Here is an 18,443-nt window from a genome sequence, read left to right as displayed (position 1 = left end):
CTGGGGGAAACCACTGGTTTACAGCAAGCAGTAAGCAAACAGGCTCTTTGTTCCAGAGGCAAAGACATTACCTCATCCCTTAAGGTTGCTTACTCCAAACACACCTGTGAGAAATGTGATTTCCAACTTCAGGTATGATGGCCCTCTTCTTTTGTCATTTTTGAAGAACCTTTTTGAAAACTTCTTTTTAAAAAAATAATTTCAAATTTACAGAGTTACAAAAACAAGCATAATACAGGAAACACCCAGATTTGACTATGACATTTTACTTCCATTTGCTTTATCATCTGCACTTATACTCTTTTCCTTTTTCTACATAACTTTTTTTCCTGAATCATTTGAAGATAAGTTACATATATCATGGCCCTTTAATCCTAAATTCTTCAGTATTTCCTAGGACTAAGGGAATTAACTTACATTAATATCAGTGCAGTTATCACCCTCAAAATTTTATATTGATATAATACTTTCTCCTAATCTCCCATATTTTAATTTTGCCAGTTATCTAGTTGTGTAATTTATAGCATTTCCCCCAGGATCTAATCTAAGCACAGATATTAAATTTATTCATCATGTCTCCTTAGTATCTTTTAACCTGGAACATTTCTAACAGTCTTTATCTTTTATATTTTAAACATCAAGCCCTTCTCCATTTTTTAATAAATCATTTTCTATTTAAAAAGTCATGATCTCTGTGATTAGAGACTGCTTTACTTCTTCCTTTTTAAACAATATTCCCTTTATTTCCCTTACTTGCCCTACTATATTGGCTAGGACCTCTACTACAGTAATGAATTTCATTGACTTCTGCTTTTACCTTTGTTATTTCTACCTTTTATGCATTTTGGATTTAATTTGCTCTTTTTTTTTTTTTTTTTTGCTACCTTAAGGTAAAAACTTAGATCTCTGACTTGAAGCCATTTCCCTTTTCTACTATAAGCATGTAATACTATAGTTTCCCTCTAACCTCTGTTTGTTTGTTTTTTTCTACTATAAGCATTTCATGCTATAGATTTCTCTCCAACCCCTGCATTAGCTGTATCCTGTCAATTTTGGTATATTTCTTTTCAATCAATTCAAAATGTTTTCTAATTTCTCTTGTGATTCCTCTTTGATCCATGAATTATTTAGAAGTGTACTATTGAATATCTAAATATTTGGGGGATTTTCCAGATATTTTTCTATTGTTGATTTGTAGTTTAACTCCACTATGAATAGAAAACATTCTTTGTATAAATTAAATTTTTTAAAAAAATTTAAGGTTGATTTTTTAATCCAGAATATGGTCTATCCTGGTAACTAACCCATGTGCACTTGAGAAGACTGTATATTCAACTGTTGTATTCCAAATTTCTGAAGTGTTCCACAAATATCAAAAGGGTCAAGTTGTTTGACAATGTTGTTCAAATCTTCAATTTTTTAGTAATGTTCTGTATCTTTTTATTGATTCTGAGTGTTGACATCTCCAACTATAATTGTGAATTTGTCTATTTCTCTTTTCAGTTCTAACAGTGTTTGCCTCATACATTTAGAGGCTCTAATTGTTAGCTGCATACACATACTTTCTGTTACGTGTATGCTATGTCTTCTTGGTGAGATAACCTCTTTATCCTTATGTAATGTCCTTCTTCAACACTGGGAATATTTCTTGTTCTGAAGTCTACTTAACTTCATGTCAATATAACTACTCTAGCTTTCTTTTGGTTAGTGTTTGTATAGTTCATCTTTTCCCATCCTTTTGATTGTTATCTTCTTACGTTTTTTAAAATGACTTTCTTGTAAACAGCATATAATTGTGTCTTGCTTTTTTACTAAACTGATCTTTCTTTCAATTTGAGGGTTTATAGACATTTGAGTCTTTATACTGACATTTCATTAACTTCATGTGATGTTTTATATGGCTGGATTTAAATCTACATTGTCAGTTCTTTATTTTTTCCATCTGCTCTGTTACTTTTCTGCTTTTTGCATTATTTTTATTATTCTATTTTATCTGTACTGTGGGCTTCTTGTTTATACTTTTTAAGCTTTTCAGTAATTGCCTGAGGATTTACAAGATATATCTTTAGTTACGGAGTACCTTCAAACAGTATTACACCACTACATATGTAGTATAAGAACCTCACAACAGTATTATCCCAATTTCTCCCTCCCTCCCTTTGTGCTATTGTCTTATTTTATTTTTATATGTGCTATAAATTTATAGTACATAGTTGCTATCTTTGATTTAGTAATCCTAATCATCTTTTACTGAAATGTAAAACAAGAATAAAATTTATTTTATATTTACCTTCATTTGTTCCATTTTCAATGCTTCCTAAATCTTTGTATAGCTCCAAGTTTCTGTCTGGCATTGTACTGTTTCAGCATAATGAAATTCCTTTACATTTCTTGTAGTGTAAGTAAGCTGGTATGAGCTCTCTCAGTTTTTGTCTGTCTCAAAGTTTTTATTTTTAAAAGATATTTTGTTCCACTGAACTCAGCTTTCTAAAAATATCATTCTATGTGTTCTGGCTTGCATAACCTCTAGTAAGGAGTCTGCTGTAATTCTTATGAATTCTTAGTATCTACTCTGTCTTTTTCATGTGGCTGCCTTGAACATTTTCCATTTATCTTTGTTCTTCAGCAACATTTTCCATTTATCTTTGAATTTTAATGTATCTCAGTAGGTATATATGTGTGTTTGTTTTTTGGAGGATAAGGGTATTCATCCTACCTAGTGTCTCTGAGATTCCTGAAGCTGTGGTTTGATGTCTGTAATTATTTTTGGAAAATAGTTGGCCATTACCCTTCAAATACTTTTTGTCTCAAGACCCCACCCCTCACCCACTCCCACCCCCATCATATCTTTCCATCTCTCTTCTCCTTCTGGGATTCCATTTTCACATATTACATCACTTGAAATTGTCCCACAGCTGTTGGATGCACTGTTTGTTTTGTGTGGTTTTTCCCCCTCTTTTCCACTATTTTTTTCCCCTTTGTGAGTAAGTTTGGGTAATTTCCAGTGATTTATCTTCACATTCACCGATTCTTTTCTCAACTTTGTTGAGTCTACTGGTGAATCTGTTAATGGCATTCTTCATCTCTAGTACCGTATTTTTCATTACTGGCATTTCCATTTGATTCTTTCTTATGTTAATAGTTTCCAATTCTGCTGATATTACCCATGTGATAGAACATGTTTTCCATCTTTTCCACTTGAGCATTTAATTATTTTAAATTCCCTGTCTGATAGTTTGACATCTAGATCATATATGAGTCTAGCTCTGCTGAATGCTTTTGGTTAAAAGCCAGACACCTTCTCTAGGAGTATAGAGACTGTGATAAATAATATGTATGCCTAAAAATGGGCGTGTCTCATCTTCTGCTACAACTTAGTGTATGGGGATAAGCCAACCTAGTCAAGAGTTTACTGTTTGGGTTTTATTGTTGCTATGATTACCTTGAGAATACCATTGGTTTAAAATTTATCTGGCATAACCTTGTGCTTAGAGTGGAAGTTGGGTTGTAGGATGTTTTCTTTTTCAATGCTCTTGTTCCACTCTCAGCTTTAGGCTTTTGCTCAGAGGCTATGCCTCAGAGAAGGTCTCTCTCCATATTATTGACCCATCCCCACACATTTGAGACCTGTTTCTTGGTGCTTGCTAGTCTAATGGTGGGCTTGTGGAGGCATTCTTTGTTGTTGTAGATCAGCCTCTGTCCCTGGATATCAAGGACAAGACTTTCTCAGGGGTCTTTTCCTCCAGTGGTAGAAGAACCTGCCCCTCCCGCAAAAGGGGTGGTTTTATCTCTTCCCTTCCCCAGGAAAGGTTTTCTGTCTCAAGGTCTTTAGGCTTTGTTCTACAGGAGAGAAGAATCCAGGCTTCACGCCTTTCCCACAGCAGCAACTGCTCTCCTCCCCTAGGCCTGCACTTAAAGATTCTCTCCCATCTTGTCCCCACTTAATCTCATGAGCACCCATTGAGGTCTGCAGAGAGTGGATATGAGCTCTCCCTTCAGGGCTGTTTACAGGAATTTTATAGTCTTATGGTAGCCTACTTTTGACCTTAAGCAATTTGTTAAAATTTTTAGCTATTTTGTTTCATTACCCATAAATTTTGGGCTTCTATTCATCTCAGTAAGTATATCTCTACATCATTTTTCATGGCAACATATTATTCCTTAAATAGACATACCATAAATGTAATACTGCACCTTTAGTTTGTTTCTGGTTTTCTACAATTACGCTTTAGTGAAAATGTGCACACAAGTATCTATATATGCATCAGTCAACAGTAATAATATTGGTATCCAAAATGATGTTATAAAACAACAACCATAATAGCTAATATCAAGTGCTTACTATCTTTTACCAGATGTTCTAAACTATAGATGCTACAGATCTTCACAATAATCCTATAAGGTACATATTATAATTATTTCTATTTTAAAGACAAAGAATAATTTTCCCCAAATGTTATCACACTAGTAATTTTAGCCTTCTTTTTGAGCATCATGTTTTCTAATAAAAACTTATATAACAGAGGAAGGAATAAGAAAAGGATAATGAGTCTAAAAGTACACTCTGTTAAATGAGTCCCATATGTCAAAGCTTGTGGGTGTGTGTGTTTGTATGTGACTAATGTTTTACAACATTCAAAATAGGATAGCATATCAATATATTGTAATTGTTTATTTTTAAACTACTTTGTAAGGCCTGGGGGCAGGCAAAGCTTTTGTCTACTACCTTACTGCTCCTATGATAGCATACTAAAGATTGTTTCTAACAAGTATGTCAAAATGTTAAAACATTAGAATCAATAATTCTAAATTTTTACTCTAGTCAGACTTATTTTTACCTCCTCATGCTAAATGAACGCACTATACAAATATCTCCAACTGTATAATTTCCAGAGATAATGCATAATATAGACATAACAGTGTACATCATATATATTTTCAATTTCAAAGAGTTGATCTAATTCAGAAAAAGACTTTCAAGCAATAACATTTCAAGAGATGGAAGGACTTTGAAATAAAGTGTGCTATTATGGAAACGTAAAATTCACAGGCTTTCCTCTTAGAATTACAAAGATTAAAGATACATACACCAACTTTTAAATCCTTATAATATTAACTGTTAATGCAATTGTTAAAGCAACCTAATTTTTAGCTCTGCTTTCAAATATGAAAATTTAAACTGTGAGCTGAATCTTGAGCTAGATGGCTAATTTTTCACATTGTCTTCCATACTAATTGGAAAAGATTAAATGTCTACAGTTTATTTTTGAATCTTTCATAAAAGTCTTAAAGAGAGTTCACTTTTTAGATAGTCTGAATAAAGAACTCACTTCCTCAGTTTTTTCATTCTGGTGAAGAGTCCAAAATCACTAACAATTATTTATTTCATCAAAACTATTAACGACACCAATGTTTGCCAGGACATTAACAGTGAACCTGTGCCCTCACTGCTGACTATGTGGGCACTGCAACAGTATAATGTGACTGTAGATACACCACTTTACATGAAATATAAACTCATCTCTTCATTATAGTTCAAAAAAACCTAGACTAGGCTTTTCAGAAACCTGAGGAATTTTAAAATGCAGATTAAATGTTTTACTCTTCAGGAAGAATGCCAAGATATTTAATAAGTAATTGTTGCATGAGATTTTTAAGCATTAATTCTGATTTAAATCCTCTGAGTTTAAACACACACACACATTCACTTACACACACAGAGAAAGTGAGCTATGAGAATACAGACCATAAGCATGACAGTTTTGGTTTTTTCAGAAGCACAAGGACCTACTTGACTTGCCCAAAGCCACATAACTAGTGAGTGTGAAAGCCAGAGGCAGACTCATGACTCCCAGCTCCAATTTCAGTGTTTTCCATTGCAAGGTCACTCGCCCATCAACTGTCAACTAATTTGACTGATTCATAAGGGCACATCTATTACTATTTCTATCTGAATTCCTGAATATAATCCAAATCTATCTTCTGGTTGTCAAACTTAAAACCAGTTCAAAAAACAACAACAATCACCACCTACGTCCTCAAAGGCCAAATTACTTTTCCTTCACAGTTAGTGTGCATGCACTTTTTTATACAGCAAAAAATGAATAAATTACTCTTTAAACTTTTAAATAAAATAACCAACGTATTTGAAATGCTGTAAAGGCTAAAAAGAAATGATCCAGACTTAAAAAAAAAAAAAAAATCAAACAAAGCAGAGGGTCTGCCTAAGAAGAAGTCAAGTGTTTTGTTAGTGGCTCACACCTGTAATCCCAATACTTTGGGAGGCCAGGGCAGAAAGATCACTTGAGCCCAGGAGTTCAAGACCAGCCTGGGTAACATAGGGAGACCCCACCCTACTAAAAAAAAAAAAAAAAAAAAAATTAGCCAGGTGTGATGGTACATGCCTGTGGTCTCAGCTACTTGGGAGGCTGAGGTGGAAGGATGGTTTGAGCCCAGGAGATCAAGGCTACAGGGAGCCAAGATCGACCCACTGCACTGCCGCCTGAGCAACAGAATGGGACCCTGTCTCAAGGAAAAAAAAAAAAAAAAGAAATCAAGTGTTTAGTTTGGTGGGTACTCCAAGTGCTTAAATCTAAATTATGTTAAAATTCTAAAATAAAGTAAGTGGGTTTTGGTTTACAGCCAAAGCATTTTCTCATTTAAATGGACATACTATTATTATGAAAAATATCCTTATAACCATGTAATTTCTTGAACATGAAGGGATCATTAGTGGGTAGATAGTTAAAATAATTACTGTTTTCTAAAATATACCTAACATGATTACCAAAAGACTGTGGCTGGTTTATGGGTAAGATTTCCGGTTAATAGGAAAAAAAAATCTAGTGTACTGAATAAGAACTGACTTAGATGTTAACGGCAAAAAAGAACAAAGTATTCGGCACAACTCTGAATGACTATTTGTAACTTATTACATATTTGCCTTAAATTACTAGCTGTGAATAGCCTTGCTTTTAAGGCAAAAACAGAAATTCAAATTTTAAAAACCTCATTTTATTTAGTTTCAGCAATTTGTATTACCTACACGTTTTGTTGCCTTAAGAGCACAGGAGTACCTACTAGCTGTGTGACCTTGAATATATTAGCAGCTTCTTAGATTTCCCATCTGCAAAATGGGGTAACAGCTATCTTACGGAGTTGAGAGGATCAAACTAGGGTAGATACAGCACTTAGTTAGCCTGCCCCATAACATGAATTCAGAAAATGGTAACCATCATTATAATAATATGGTAGACATACTTTCAAAAGGAGTAAGAATTAAGAAGGTGAGAATACTTGAAAGCTGGTGAGCACCTCGAACAATTTTGAGGAGAGGGAGAGGGAGAGGACAAGACCGCTGAGTCTAAAATATGGCACATGGAAAAGAAAATAATTGGGAACATCTCTAGAGCTACCAAATGCTTTGAAAATTAGATTATAAATGTGTGTACACATATGTGTAAGGACATGTGTGTGCGCATGCATGAGAACACATACATGTATAACTTTATGAGTTTAAAATCAAAATTATAAATTAATTCTAAATGGATTTCTGTAGATTTTTTAGTAAATTTCAGTGTAATACATTGGATTACAGTAAATTTAAGGTTCAAATTTTAAAAAGGAAATTAAAGCCAGATCCATACAAAAGATGCAAAGTTTCCTACAGAGTATCCATGTTCGGTTGGCAAAGAAGTCACAAGTTAAATATGGGATAGATATCAAAATACACAAAATACCACTACATATTCCATGGAAAATCTGGATAATGGTAAGTTTCTTCATTTTGCTCACCTAATAAATCAAGATGCCCACAGACATCAAGATATTCTAAAAAGACTTTTTTCCCTGACTGGTTTAACAATTATGTTTTCTCTCCCTTCAGTTTATAATTCTCCATGTTAGAAATATCTATTAATATAATACCTGTACATCTAAATGTTACATTAAACCTAAGCTTACCATTGTTAAACTTCTCAAACTAATTCCCAGAAATTATTTTCTTTACAGTTTGAGAGTAGCCCCAAATAAAGTTCTCCTTTATTACAAATCAAAAAAATCTTATATCCTAACATTACCCTCTACTCTGGAAAGTTGTGATATAAAACAAAACTAACAGAAAACTTTCACCATCACCAAACACAACATCAGTTCTATTTTTATTGCTGAAAGCATTCTTAGACGAGTTTCATCTAGTCAGATCTGGAAGTGTGAACTGGTAAGTTCGGTCTAAGAATTTTCCTTTAAAATAAGTAATAATTTAATATCTCCATTTCTAAAATTCTGAGATCAGAAAAGAAGAAAGAAGGGGGGAGGAAAGGAGAGAAATGGAGAGGAAAAAAAGAAGGGAAGACAGACGGAGGGAGAGAAAAGGGGAAAGGGAAGGCCTCTATTCAAGCAATGTTCAGAAGAAACAAAAAAAGATAGAAGAGAGACAGAGACAAGCTAGGGAGTCCCAGAGCATTTTTGGTTTTAAAAATAAAATAAAATAAAATCGCCTCCAAAAGATTAAGTCATGTTGAAATAAAGAAAATGAGGTATGAAAAGTAAAGAAAAACAAAGATCAGAAAGTTGCAGTTTCAGACTTTTGACAAAACTGGACTCTACATCTTGAACCGCATGATACATGTATTGTTTCCGCCTGATTCTTACAAGATAATCGGCAACTTAAATTTTATATTATTTAAGAACTAAGCTTCTTCCTAATATCCTCAGATTCTTTCAAAATGAAGGAAGAGGAAATAAATTCCAAAAGGAGGGAAATAAATATGTGAGCACCTCAATTTGTGCGTAAATCATTTTTGGCTTATTGGAATGATTTCTGTTATCTCTTTGTAATCCCAAAATAATAAAAATAACTAAAAACTATACTTCAGAGTAAAATGAAGCCATGCAACTATACATATACATCTAATGAAGATGAAACTTTATACTATTTACTGCCACTGACAGTCTGTACTGGCTGGGCCAAAAAAGCCCAGTAGATTCTAAACAGAGGATTTTCTTAAATTAAAAATATACACACCCACACAAACACACACATGTATCTTTAATTATGTATATATATTTATGATGACATACTTGAAATCAGAAATTATGCACTGTTTACCCCAGTGGTCAAATAATCCCTCTTTTATAGGTCAACACTAACCAAAATAGATTACATATTAATATTTCATTGTAAATTAATTACATATTTTATGATTTAAATTAACTTCAAAAACTTTTACTAAAGATCTTTTAAGTATCATTAGCAATCAAACATGTTATTTCCCCCTATTAAACAAGCAAAAATTTAGAAATGGAATTCAATACTGGCAAGCGATTTTCAAAGCTGCAGTCACCACTGAAGTAAAAGATCTTTGAAGACACAAATTATGTCTCACTTATCTTTGTATGTACAATTATAAGCACAGTGCCTAGTACAGTAGGTGCTCAAACAGGTTATCTGATTGAACAAATGAAAGAAAGACAACTTCACATTATTTAACAAGAATCATAAAAATATTTATCCCTTTGAATCAGTAATCCCACCTACAAGAAGCTACCCAAAAGAATACTTAGATAACAGGGATATTCAATTAAGTTATATTTTTAACTTGAGAAACTAAAAATAATCTAAACATCAAAAGTTAAGGAAATGAAAAATAAATTGTGGTTTACTCACATGATAGTATACAGTAGCAAAGGTTTTTTTAATGAGGAAATTTTGATGAAACAAAAAAAATGTTCATGGTAATATGTTAAGAAAAAAGTCAAATAAAATCGCTTGATCTCAACTGTTCTTAAAATGTACTAAAAAAAGAATGGTAGCAAATATACATAGATGCAAAAAGTGTCTTTTGCTATTTTTTCCATACTGGTATGTTTATTTAAAAACAGAAAACAATACTGCTGTTATTTTTCATTATTATTATTAATTTACATGGGGGGGTTCTGGGCAGTACAACAAACTTAAAAAGTTAAACAATAAATCATAAGGTGATCTCTACCCATATCTGGGCTGGCTCCTCAATTAATATGGACAAATCACAAATTTTAGGAATTACTTTTTAGTTAAGTGGCAATGAAGTAAAAGTAGGGTCTGAAGGCAAATAAAATACCCTTTTGGATTTTTCTTTCTTGGCTTCACATTTGACTTGCAGACTGTTTCCACTATTACATCACTGATATTTCTTCACAATTTTAAAAACACTTATTAGAATCTTTTGTGAATAGAAAAGCCTTAAAATAAGGAGATCTTCTAATCTACTAGACACTTTAGTGGAAGCCCAAACCATATGAAATTGGAACTTCCTGCCAATCTTACTATTCTACAGTTATTCAGAAAGGTCTCAGTTGGAGTGAATACACAGTCATCCCTCGATATCCACGGACTATTGGTTTCAGGACCCCCCTGAAGACACCAAAATCCACAGATGCTCACAAGCCTTATATAAAATAGTGTTGTATTTGCATATAACCTATGTACCTCCTCCTGTATACTTTAAATCATCTCTAGATTACTTGTAATACCTAATACAATGTAAATGTTATAAAAATTGTTGTTATACTATATTGTTTAGAGAATAATGACAAGAAAAAAGTCTGTATATATTCAGTACAGACACAACCATCTTTTTTTTCCAAATATTTTTTCTCTTTTTTGTCTGAGACAAGGTCTCTGTCACCCAGGCTGGAGTGCAGCAGCATGATCACAGCTCACTGCAGTCTTGACCTCCTGAGCTGAAGCCATCCTCCTATCTCAGCCTCCCAACTACAGAGTAGCTGGAACTACAGGTGCATGCCACCACATCTGGCTAATTTTTTTGTACATACAGGGTCTCACTATGTTGCCCAGGCTGGTCTCAAACTCCTGGCCTCAAGCGATCCTCCCTTCTTGGCCTCCCAAAGTGCTGGCATTACTGGCATGAGCTACCATGCCCAGCCTCAAATATTTTCATTAAGTGGTTGGTTGAATCCACAAGTAAGGAACCCACCATTACAGCGGGCCAACTGTATACATTCATTTTTAAATTTCTTAACTGGGCACGTATATATCAGGTTATATTAATTTTAAAATCAGTAACTATTTTTCTAGTAGAACATTCAACCGTATTTCATTTAGGGCTACACATTACAATAACACACACAACCAACACATTAGTCAATTGAAAGCTTAGCTTTATATGTCTATTATTAATTTTTGTAACACAGTGCTTCAAAACTCAATCATGAACCCACTTTAAAGAAATAAAATTCAGGGCCAGGAGCGGTGGCTCATGACTGTAATCTCAACACTTTGGGAGGCTGAGGCGGGTGGATCACGAGGTCAGGAGATCGAGACCATCCTTGCTAACACTGTGAAACCCTGTCTCTACTAAAAACACAAAAAATTAGCTGGGTGTGGTGGCACGCGCCTGTAGTCCCAGCTACTTGGGAGGCTGAGGCACGAGGTCAGGAGATTGAGACCATCCTGGCTAACACTGTGAAACCCTGTCTCTACTAAAAATACAAAAAATTAGCCGGGTGTGGTGGCACGTGCCTGTAGTCCCAGCTACTTGAGAGGCTGAGGCAGGAGAATTGCTTGAACCTGGGAGGCAGACGTTGCAGTGAGCAGAGATTGCGCCACTACACTCCAGCCTGGGAGACAGAGCGAGACTTCACATCAGAAAAATAATAATAATGAAAAAGAAAAAAGAAATAAAATTCAGGAGTAACTGAAAAGCTATCAATTTACTATTTCTCACACAATCTGTTTCCTATCCCAAGCTAGGATATAAATAGTCACATTAAGCCTAATATAAAACACTGGTCTTAACAGAACTGCTACAAAATTAGCTGTCAAACTTTTATTGAAAGTGTTTGGCTGGGGCGGTGGCTCACACCTGTAATGCCAGCACTTTGGGAGGCCGAGGTAGTCAGATCACCTGAAGCCAGGAACTCAAAATCAGCCTAGCCAACATGGCAAAACCCCGTCTCTACTAAAAATATAAAAATTAGCTGGGTGTGGTGGCACACACCTGTAGTCCCAGCTACTTGGGAGGCTGAGGCAGGGGAATCGCTTGAACCAGGGAGGCAGAGGTTGCAGTGAGCCGAGATCATGCCACTGCACTCCAGCCTGGGTGACAGAGCAAGACTACGTCTCAAAAAACAAAAAAGAAAGAAAGTGTTTGTTTGAAGGTGGGGGTGACAGGAGGAGGACAGAGGAACTAGGACTAGATTCTGCAGCCAGACGGTTTCAGCTCAAATTCCAGCTCTACACTTAGCAGATATGTGACCTTGGGGCAAGTAACTAAAACCTTCTGTGCCTCAATTGCCTCATCTATAGAAGGGGGATGAGGACAATGGTAATACCTCATAGGGCTGGTACTGGAATTAAATGACACATATCAAACTTCTGTAGCAACTCTAATAACACTATTTTATTCTATCTAGAATAAAGTACAAAATGGTGGTTGTAGCAAGTGGAAAATCAATGGAAAAAAAGAAAACACTCTCTGCCACTAATAATTTAATTTCCTCATTGTTTCCTCATATCCCATTCTTCTTTTATGTTTTTAATCTTAAGCGAAAGATGAAAGCAATACCTTTCAGTGTAAGTTAATGAAGCATAAGTGAGGTGGGGCTACTGTTCAGATTTCTGTATTAGCTGATCTACCAGACAATCACGGTGGGATGGAGAAAAGTAGGTAAACAATTACTCTAGAGCAGTATGCTATGGCCAATCTTCTGAAAAAGACTACTGTATTTTGGTGACTCAACTTACAGATTTTTCATTTAGTCTACAAATCTCAGCATGCAATAAGGCTCCTGCCTCCTCCATTCCCATGAAAACGTTCTGATAGAGAGTACCAGTGATGCCAGTGATGAAGCTACTTGTTATTACACTATATTATTATTGGCTCCTCTTCCTCTACCCACTCTTTCAACACCTACATGCCCCAAGGATTTATTGTTGGTCTACCACTATTCTCCCTCTGTAGAATTCTCAGGGTTCTAACTACTACCCAAATACCAAAGACTCCAGATATCTCGCCTGAGCTCTAGACTCCTACACATATGACCCAAAAAAACTCACCTTAAACTCAGTAGGCTGAAAAGTAAATGTACCATCTTTGGTGGTTCTCCATCTATAAAATCCAAGCCCCCCAGATATGGCTTCACCCTATTACTTCAGCCTCATCTTCTGCCATTCAGATTCATTTTACTGGATGCCTAGTAAAATAAAATTACCGCCTAATATTTATTGAATGCCCATTAAATGCCAGGTACTATTCTAAGCAGTTTATATAATTAACTCATTAGTCTTCACAACAATCCCATAAGGTAAATGCCATTATTTCTATTTTGTGCTGAAGAAAGTATCCTGCCTAAGCTAATAAGCAGTGGAGTCAGTATACAAACCTATATCCTGTGCTCTTACCTTCAAACTATGTAATTCTTATACATGCCTATATATGTCCAGTTTGTCTTGGGGATTCAAAGCGAACAAGACAAACAAGGCCTATTTCCTCATGGGACCTACATTCTAGTTAGCAGAATAAACAAATATACACAAGGAAGAAAAAACTTATTATTGACTATTTTAAAGTGCCAGGAAGAAAATAAACAGGATTTTATCATAAAAAAAAATACAGAAGGACCTACTTAACAGTGATGAAAGAAGGCTTCTCTGAAAAGTGACATTTTTTTTTTTTGAGATGGAGTCTCCTTCTGTTGCCCAGGCTGGAGTACAGTGGCACAATCTCGGCTCACTGCAAGCTCCGCCTCCCAGGTTCACGCCATTCTCCTGCCTCAGCCTCCCGAGTAGCTGGGACTACAGGCACCCGCCACCACACCTGGCTAGTTTTTTTGTATTTTTAGTAGATACGGGGTTTCACTGTGTTAGCCAGGATGGCCTCGATCTCCTGACCTTGTGATCTGCCCGCCTCGGCCTCCCAAAGTACTGGGATTACAGGCGTGAGCCACCGCGCCCAGCCTGAAAAGTGACTTTTAAGGTGAGACCTGAAAGATGAGAAGTCTCCAACTCTGCAAAGAGCAGCGGTATACCCGGAAGTGTACTGGGTTGTTAGAAAGCACAAAGACGGTGTTATGGACTGAATTGTGTCCCCCCTGCCAAATTCATACGTTGAAGCCCTAACCTTCAACGTGACTATATTTGAAAACTTGGCATTGAAGGAAGTAGTTAATGTTAACTAAGGTTATAAGAATGGGGCACTAATCCAACAGGACTGGTATCCTTATAAGAACAGGAAGAGACATCAGATCAATTGATCTCTCTCTCCCCGTCTCTCTCCACACCCCCTCCATATGAATACACAGGACAGGCCAGGTAAGGCTACAGTGAGAAGGTGGTAGTCTACAAGCCAGGAAGGGACATCTCAGTAGAAGCCAACCCTGCTGACACTTTGCTGTTGGATTTCCAGCCCCAAGAACTGTGTAATAATAAATTTCTGTTGTTAAAGGCACCTGGTAACAATTTGTGATGAATGCCCAAGCAAACTAATACAGACAGCAAAGACCTATGTATTTTGTAGGAACTGACAAAAAAATCAGTAGGCTGGAATACAAACAGCAATGGAGATAATAATACACCGAACACTCTTAAGCCCATAGATGAGAGATGAATCTTTTTTTTTTTTTTTTTTCTGAGACAGAGTCTCGCTCTTGTTGCCCAGCCTGAAGTGCAGTGGTGGGATATCGGCTCACTGCAACCTCCGCCTCCCGAGTTCAAGCGATTCTCCCGCCTCAGCCTCCCAAATAGCTGGGATTACAGGCACATGCCACCACGCCCAGCTGATTTTTGTATTTTTAGTAGAGACGGGGTTCACCATGTTGGCCAGGCTAGTCTTGAGCTCCTGAACTCAGGTGATCCGCCTGCCTTGGCCTCCCAAAGTGCTGGGATTACAGGCGTGAGCCCCCATGCCCGGCAGGGAGATGAATCTTAAATGAGATGATCAGAAAAATATTAAAAGTCCCTGAAGCAGGGATTTAAAGCCAGATGGCAACTGGATTTTGAAACATACAGATTTTTGTTCTCTCAGCAACTGGGAGACACTAACATATGGCAACTAGAGGTCAGTATATTCCACCCTGGAGTGCACAAAACAGTCCCGCACAAAAAAGAATTGAACCCTTTCCAAAATGTTAATGCTGTCCTATTTGGAAACAATGGCTAATGGATATGTTTTGTTTACTCGGGGGACTACAGAAAACTAAGATTTGCCACCCCTAACCCCCTACTTTTTTTTATTTCTTACACTACCAAGGACAGTTCTGAGCTAATTCTGGTTAATTAATACACATATGTTGTACTTATGTGTAAGGAACAGTATTGGATAATTTGGAACATGCACAAATGAATCAGATGCCAATGCTAGGCCTAAGAGCCACAGAAAGGGAGATAAGATACCATACTTCATCACACTAAGGCGCCATTGGTTCCATGACACACCATTTTGTGAACCACTAAGATGGGAATAACGCCAAGTAAACTATGACATCAACTGTAAGATACATCCTAATTTTAGAGTTTTTAAAATGTGAAAAAAAGTACATCTTAAAAAATGAAAGAGAATATGAAATAGCTAAAATGCAAATAGTTGGAGTAGTCATATAAAGAGTTCATATAAATGATAAAATATAACCAGTTCTGATAATCAGGAACTGCTTCATTCTGAAGATCGTACTAAGCTGAGTCTTGAAGAATGGATAGAAGAAGTGCAAGAGATTGAGGGAAAGAATATTTTCAGAAAGAGAGTACTGCAAGAAGAATAGAAATAATAAAATAAGGAAATAAGGGATGGCTAAAAAGAAATAATTAAAGTTAGAAAGACAAGTTAAAGAAAAGGAAGGAAAGAAAGGAAGGAAGGAAGGAAGGAAAAGTAAAGACAAGACAAGACAAGACAAGACAAGACAAGACAAGACAAGACAAGACAGGGTTAGGAAAACTTTGAATACAGCTGGGTTAAAGAGCCTGAAACTGACTGCACAGGCTTGAGGAATCATTCTCAAACATTTTTTTTTTCACTCCAACACATTTTAGGGTTATAATATACATAAAAAATATTGCTCACTCCAGTAGTGTTTCTAAACTGTGGGAGATGGGAAAGGAGCAGAAAAGATTAATTCTTATGGGAGTACACAGCAGTGTAAAAAAGCCCTCCAGAAAATCCTAACTTCTATCTGCACTCCATCTTGAGAATCACTGCTCTACACACTAGGAAACCCCTAGAAAAATTTTAGCAGCCAACTGATTCAGGTACATTTCAGGAAAGGGAATCCAGCAGAAGTGTGTGAAAATGAATGAGAACTGGAATAAAAACTGAGAATCTGCATAAAAAGCAGATCTTCTAAACCAGAAGTTAATGAATTTGTCCTAGATAGTTACAGTGGGAAAAAGTATGGTGGAACTATTGTAAGAAACAGAAACAATAAAGGGAAGAAAAAGTTTAAGACATAGATAATAAGCTCAAACAAATAAAAATGCATTCTAAAATACAGTGAGGTCATTCAGATGATGTCTAACAGGCATCCAAGACTGGAAAGAATGAAGGCGGTTAGGTCTGAAAAAAGAGACATGAAGATCATTTAAAAAGAAGTTTAAATGTAAATCCATAATTTGGATGAAACTCCAAAAATGGGGCAAGAGAAGTATGGCAAAAATAAATATTTTTTGTAGTGAATATGTATTAAAGCATTTAATTGCTTTATTACAAGTAACTGTCTTCATATCTTAACAATAAACTTACGCTGATCCTCATCATCACCAATTTTAACACTATAAATTTGCAAACAAAAAATCAAAGCATAGTGAAGATTATGAATATGTTCAGGATCATATAAAGCAATACAAAACAGCATTTCATTAATTTCCAATCTGGTGTTAAAAACTTTTAGACGGGCCTCTTATGTGTCTGTGTATGGATAAACTTAGTCAAAAACAATAATCCACACCTTTGAAAGCAGCGCCTAGAGCAACCAATATATATATATATTTTATAGAGACAGGGTCCTGCTCTGTCCCCCATGCTGGAGTGTAATGGTGCAATCATAGGTCACTATAACCTCGAAGTCCTGAGCTCAAGTAATCCTCCCACCTCAGCCTCCCTAGTAGCTAGTGCTACAGGTGCATGCACCACCACACCTGGCTAATTTTTATTACTCTTTGTAGAGACAGAGTCTTGCTATGTTGCCCAGGATGGTCTCAAACTCCTGGCCTCAAGCGATCCTTCTGCTTTAACTTTCCAAAGCACTGGGACTGCACAGGTGTGAGTCAGCATGCTCAGCCAAAATCAATGATTTTTAAATCAAGTATTCTTTTCAAGTTTTTTTAAGTATAAAGGCAATGTCATCTTTTACATGAAAAAGTGTGGTTTCGGCTGGGCGAGGTGGCTCACGCCTGTAATCCCAGCACTATGGGAGGCTGAGACAGGTGGATCACAAGGTCAGGAGATCGAGACCATCCTGGCTAACACGGGGAAACCCCGTCTCTACTAAAAATACAAAAAAATTAGCCAGGCATGGTGGCGGGCGCCTGTAGTTCCAGCGACTCGGGAGGCTGAGGCAGGAGAATGGAGTGACCCGGGAGGCGGAGCTTGCAGTAAGCCAAGATCAGCCACTGCACTCCAGCCTGGGCAACTGAGCAAGACTCTGTCTCAAAAAAAACAAAAAAAAGTGTGGTTTCAAGTCACATATGGGATAAGAAAGAAGAAAACCTCTAATTCTCTGGTATTAACCCTTAAATGTGATATAAACATACCAAACAGCTTTAGTTAAATTCTTTTTGACTAAAATACCTTCTGACAAACTTCCTCTTAGAGTGATACAGTCAGGGCTGGGGGGAAGGAAAGAAAGAAAGAAAAGATGGAAGGAAAAATGAAGAAACCAAAAAATGAAAAAAGAGGCAAGAGAAGGAAAGGAAAAGCAACCCAGCTGAACTAGCTAACAGGGTAAAGATGGTAAAGATCATTACATTACCCTGAAACAAATTTATTGAGCAAAGAAAATGATGTGGTTTTCTGCTGGAAGCAGGACACAATAAAGACACAGGCTATTTAACTGTACAACAGTGCAGGTATTTTTCTCAAAATAGTTGGACCTCACAGGAATCTGATAGGGAAGACACAGGCCACCAAGCCGCACAAACAGCACACAATCTGCATTATCTCTAAATGATTAGATGAACTGAAACAGCAGACAGCAGCATCTTAACAGCTTGTCAAAACATGTCCTTTTGCTACTTTATGACTGCTTTTGCTTAAGCAAATTCTCTCAAAGGAAAAAACAAAAAGCCAAGTAACTTTCTAAAACTTTATGTCCTACAATAATACTATGGTTAAATTTACAGCAAGAAATTTATATGGTTAAATTTATAGCAAGAAAAATTTAGAAAAAATGTGAAATACCTCAGTCTGACCTTCATGGGCACTGGTCTCATGAGTAACTCGGATGGCCTGTAA

General features: G+C 36.3%; 1 protein-coding gene across 10 annotated transcripts in view; it reads right to left on the bottom strand.

The window, feature by feature from the left end:
* Positions 1 to 18,443, bottom strand: part of UCHL3 (ubiquitin C-terminal hydrolase L3) — a 56,519-nt gene that overhangs the window by 18,124 nt on the left and 19,952 nt on the right. For all 10 annotated transcript variants that reach the window (XM_011535214.3, NM_001270952.2, XM_011535212.2 and 7 more), the window contains one exon: positions 18,390 to 18,437. In XM_011535214.3, coding sequence (XP_011533516.1) covers positions 18,390 to 18,437 — 48 coding nt within the window. The remainder of the gene's footprint in view (positions 1 to 18,389; positions 18,438 to 18,443) is intronic.

Source organism: Homo sapiens, chromosome 13 (genome assembly GCF_000001405.40).
Source record: "Homo sapiens chromosome 13, GRCh38.p14 Primary Assembly".
NCBI classification, from domain to species: Eukaryota; Metazoa; Chordata; class Mammalia; order Primates; family Hominidae; genus Homo; species Homo sapiens.
This window is presented reverse-complemented; position numbering and strand designations above follow the sequence as displayed.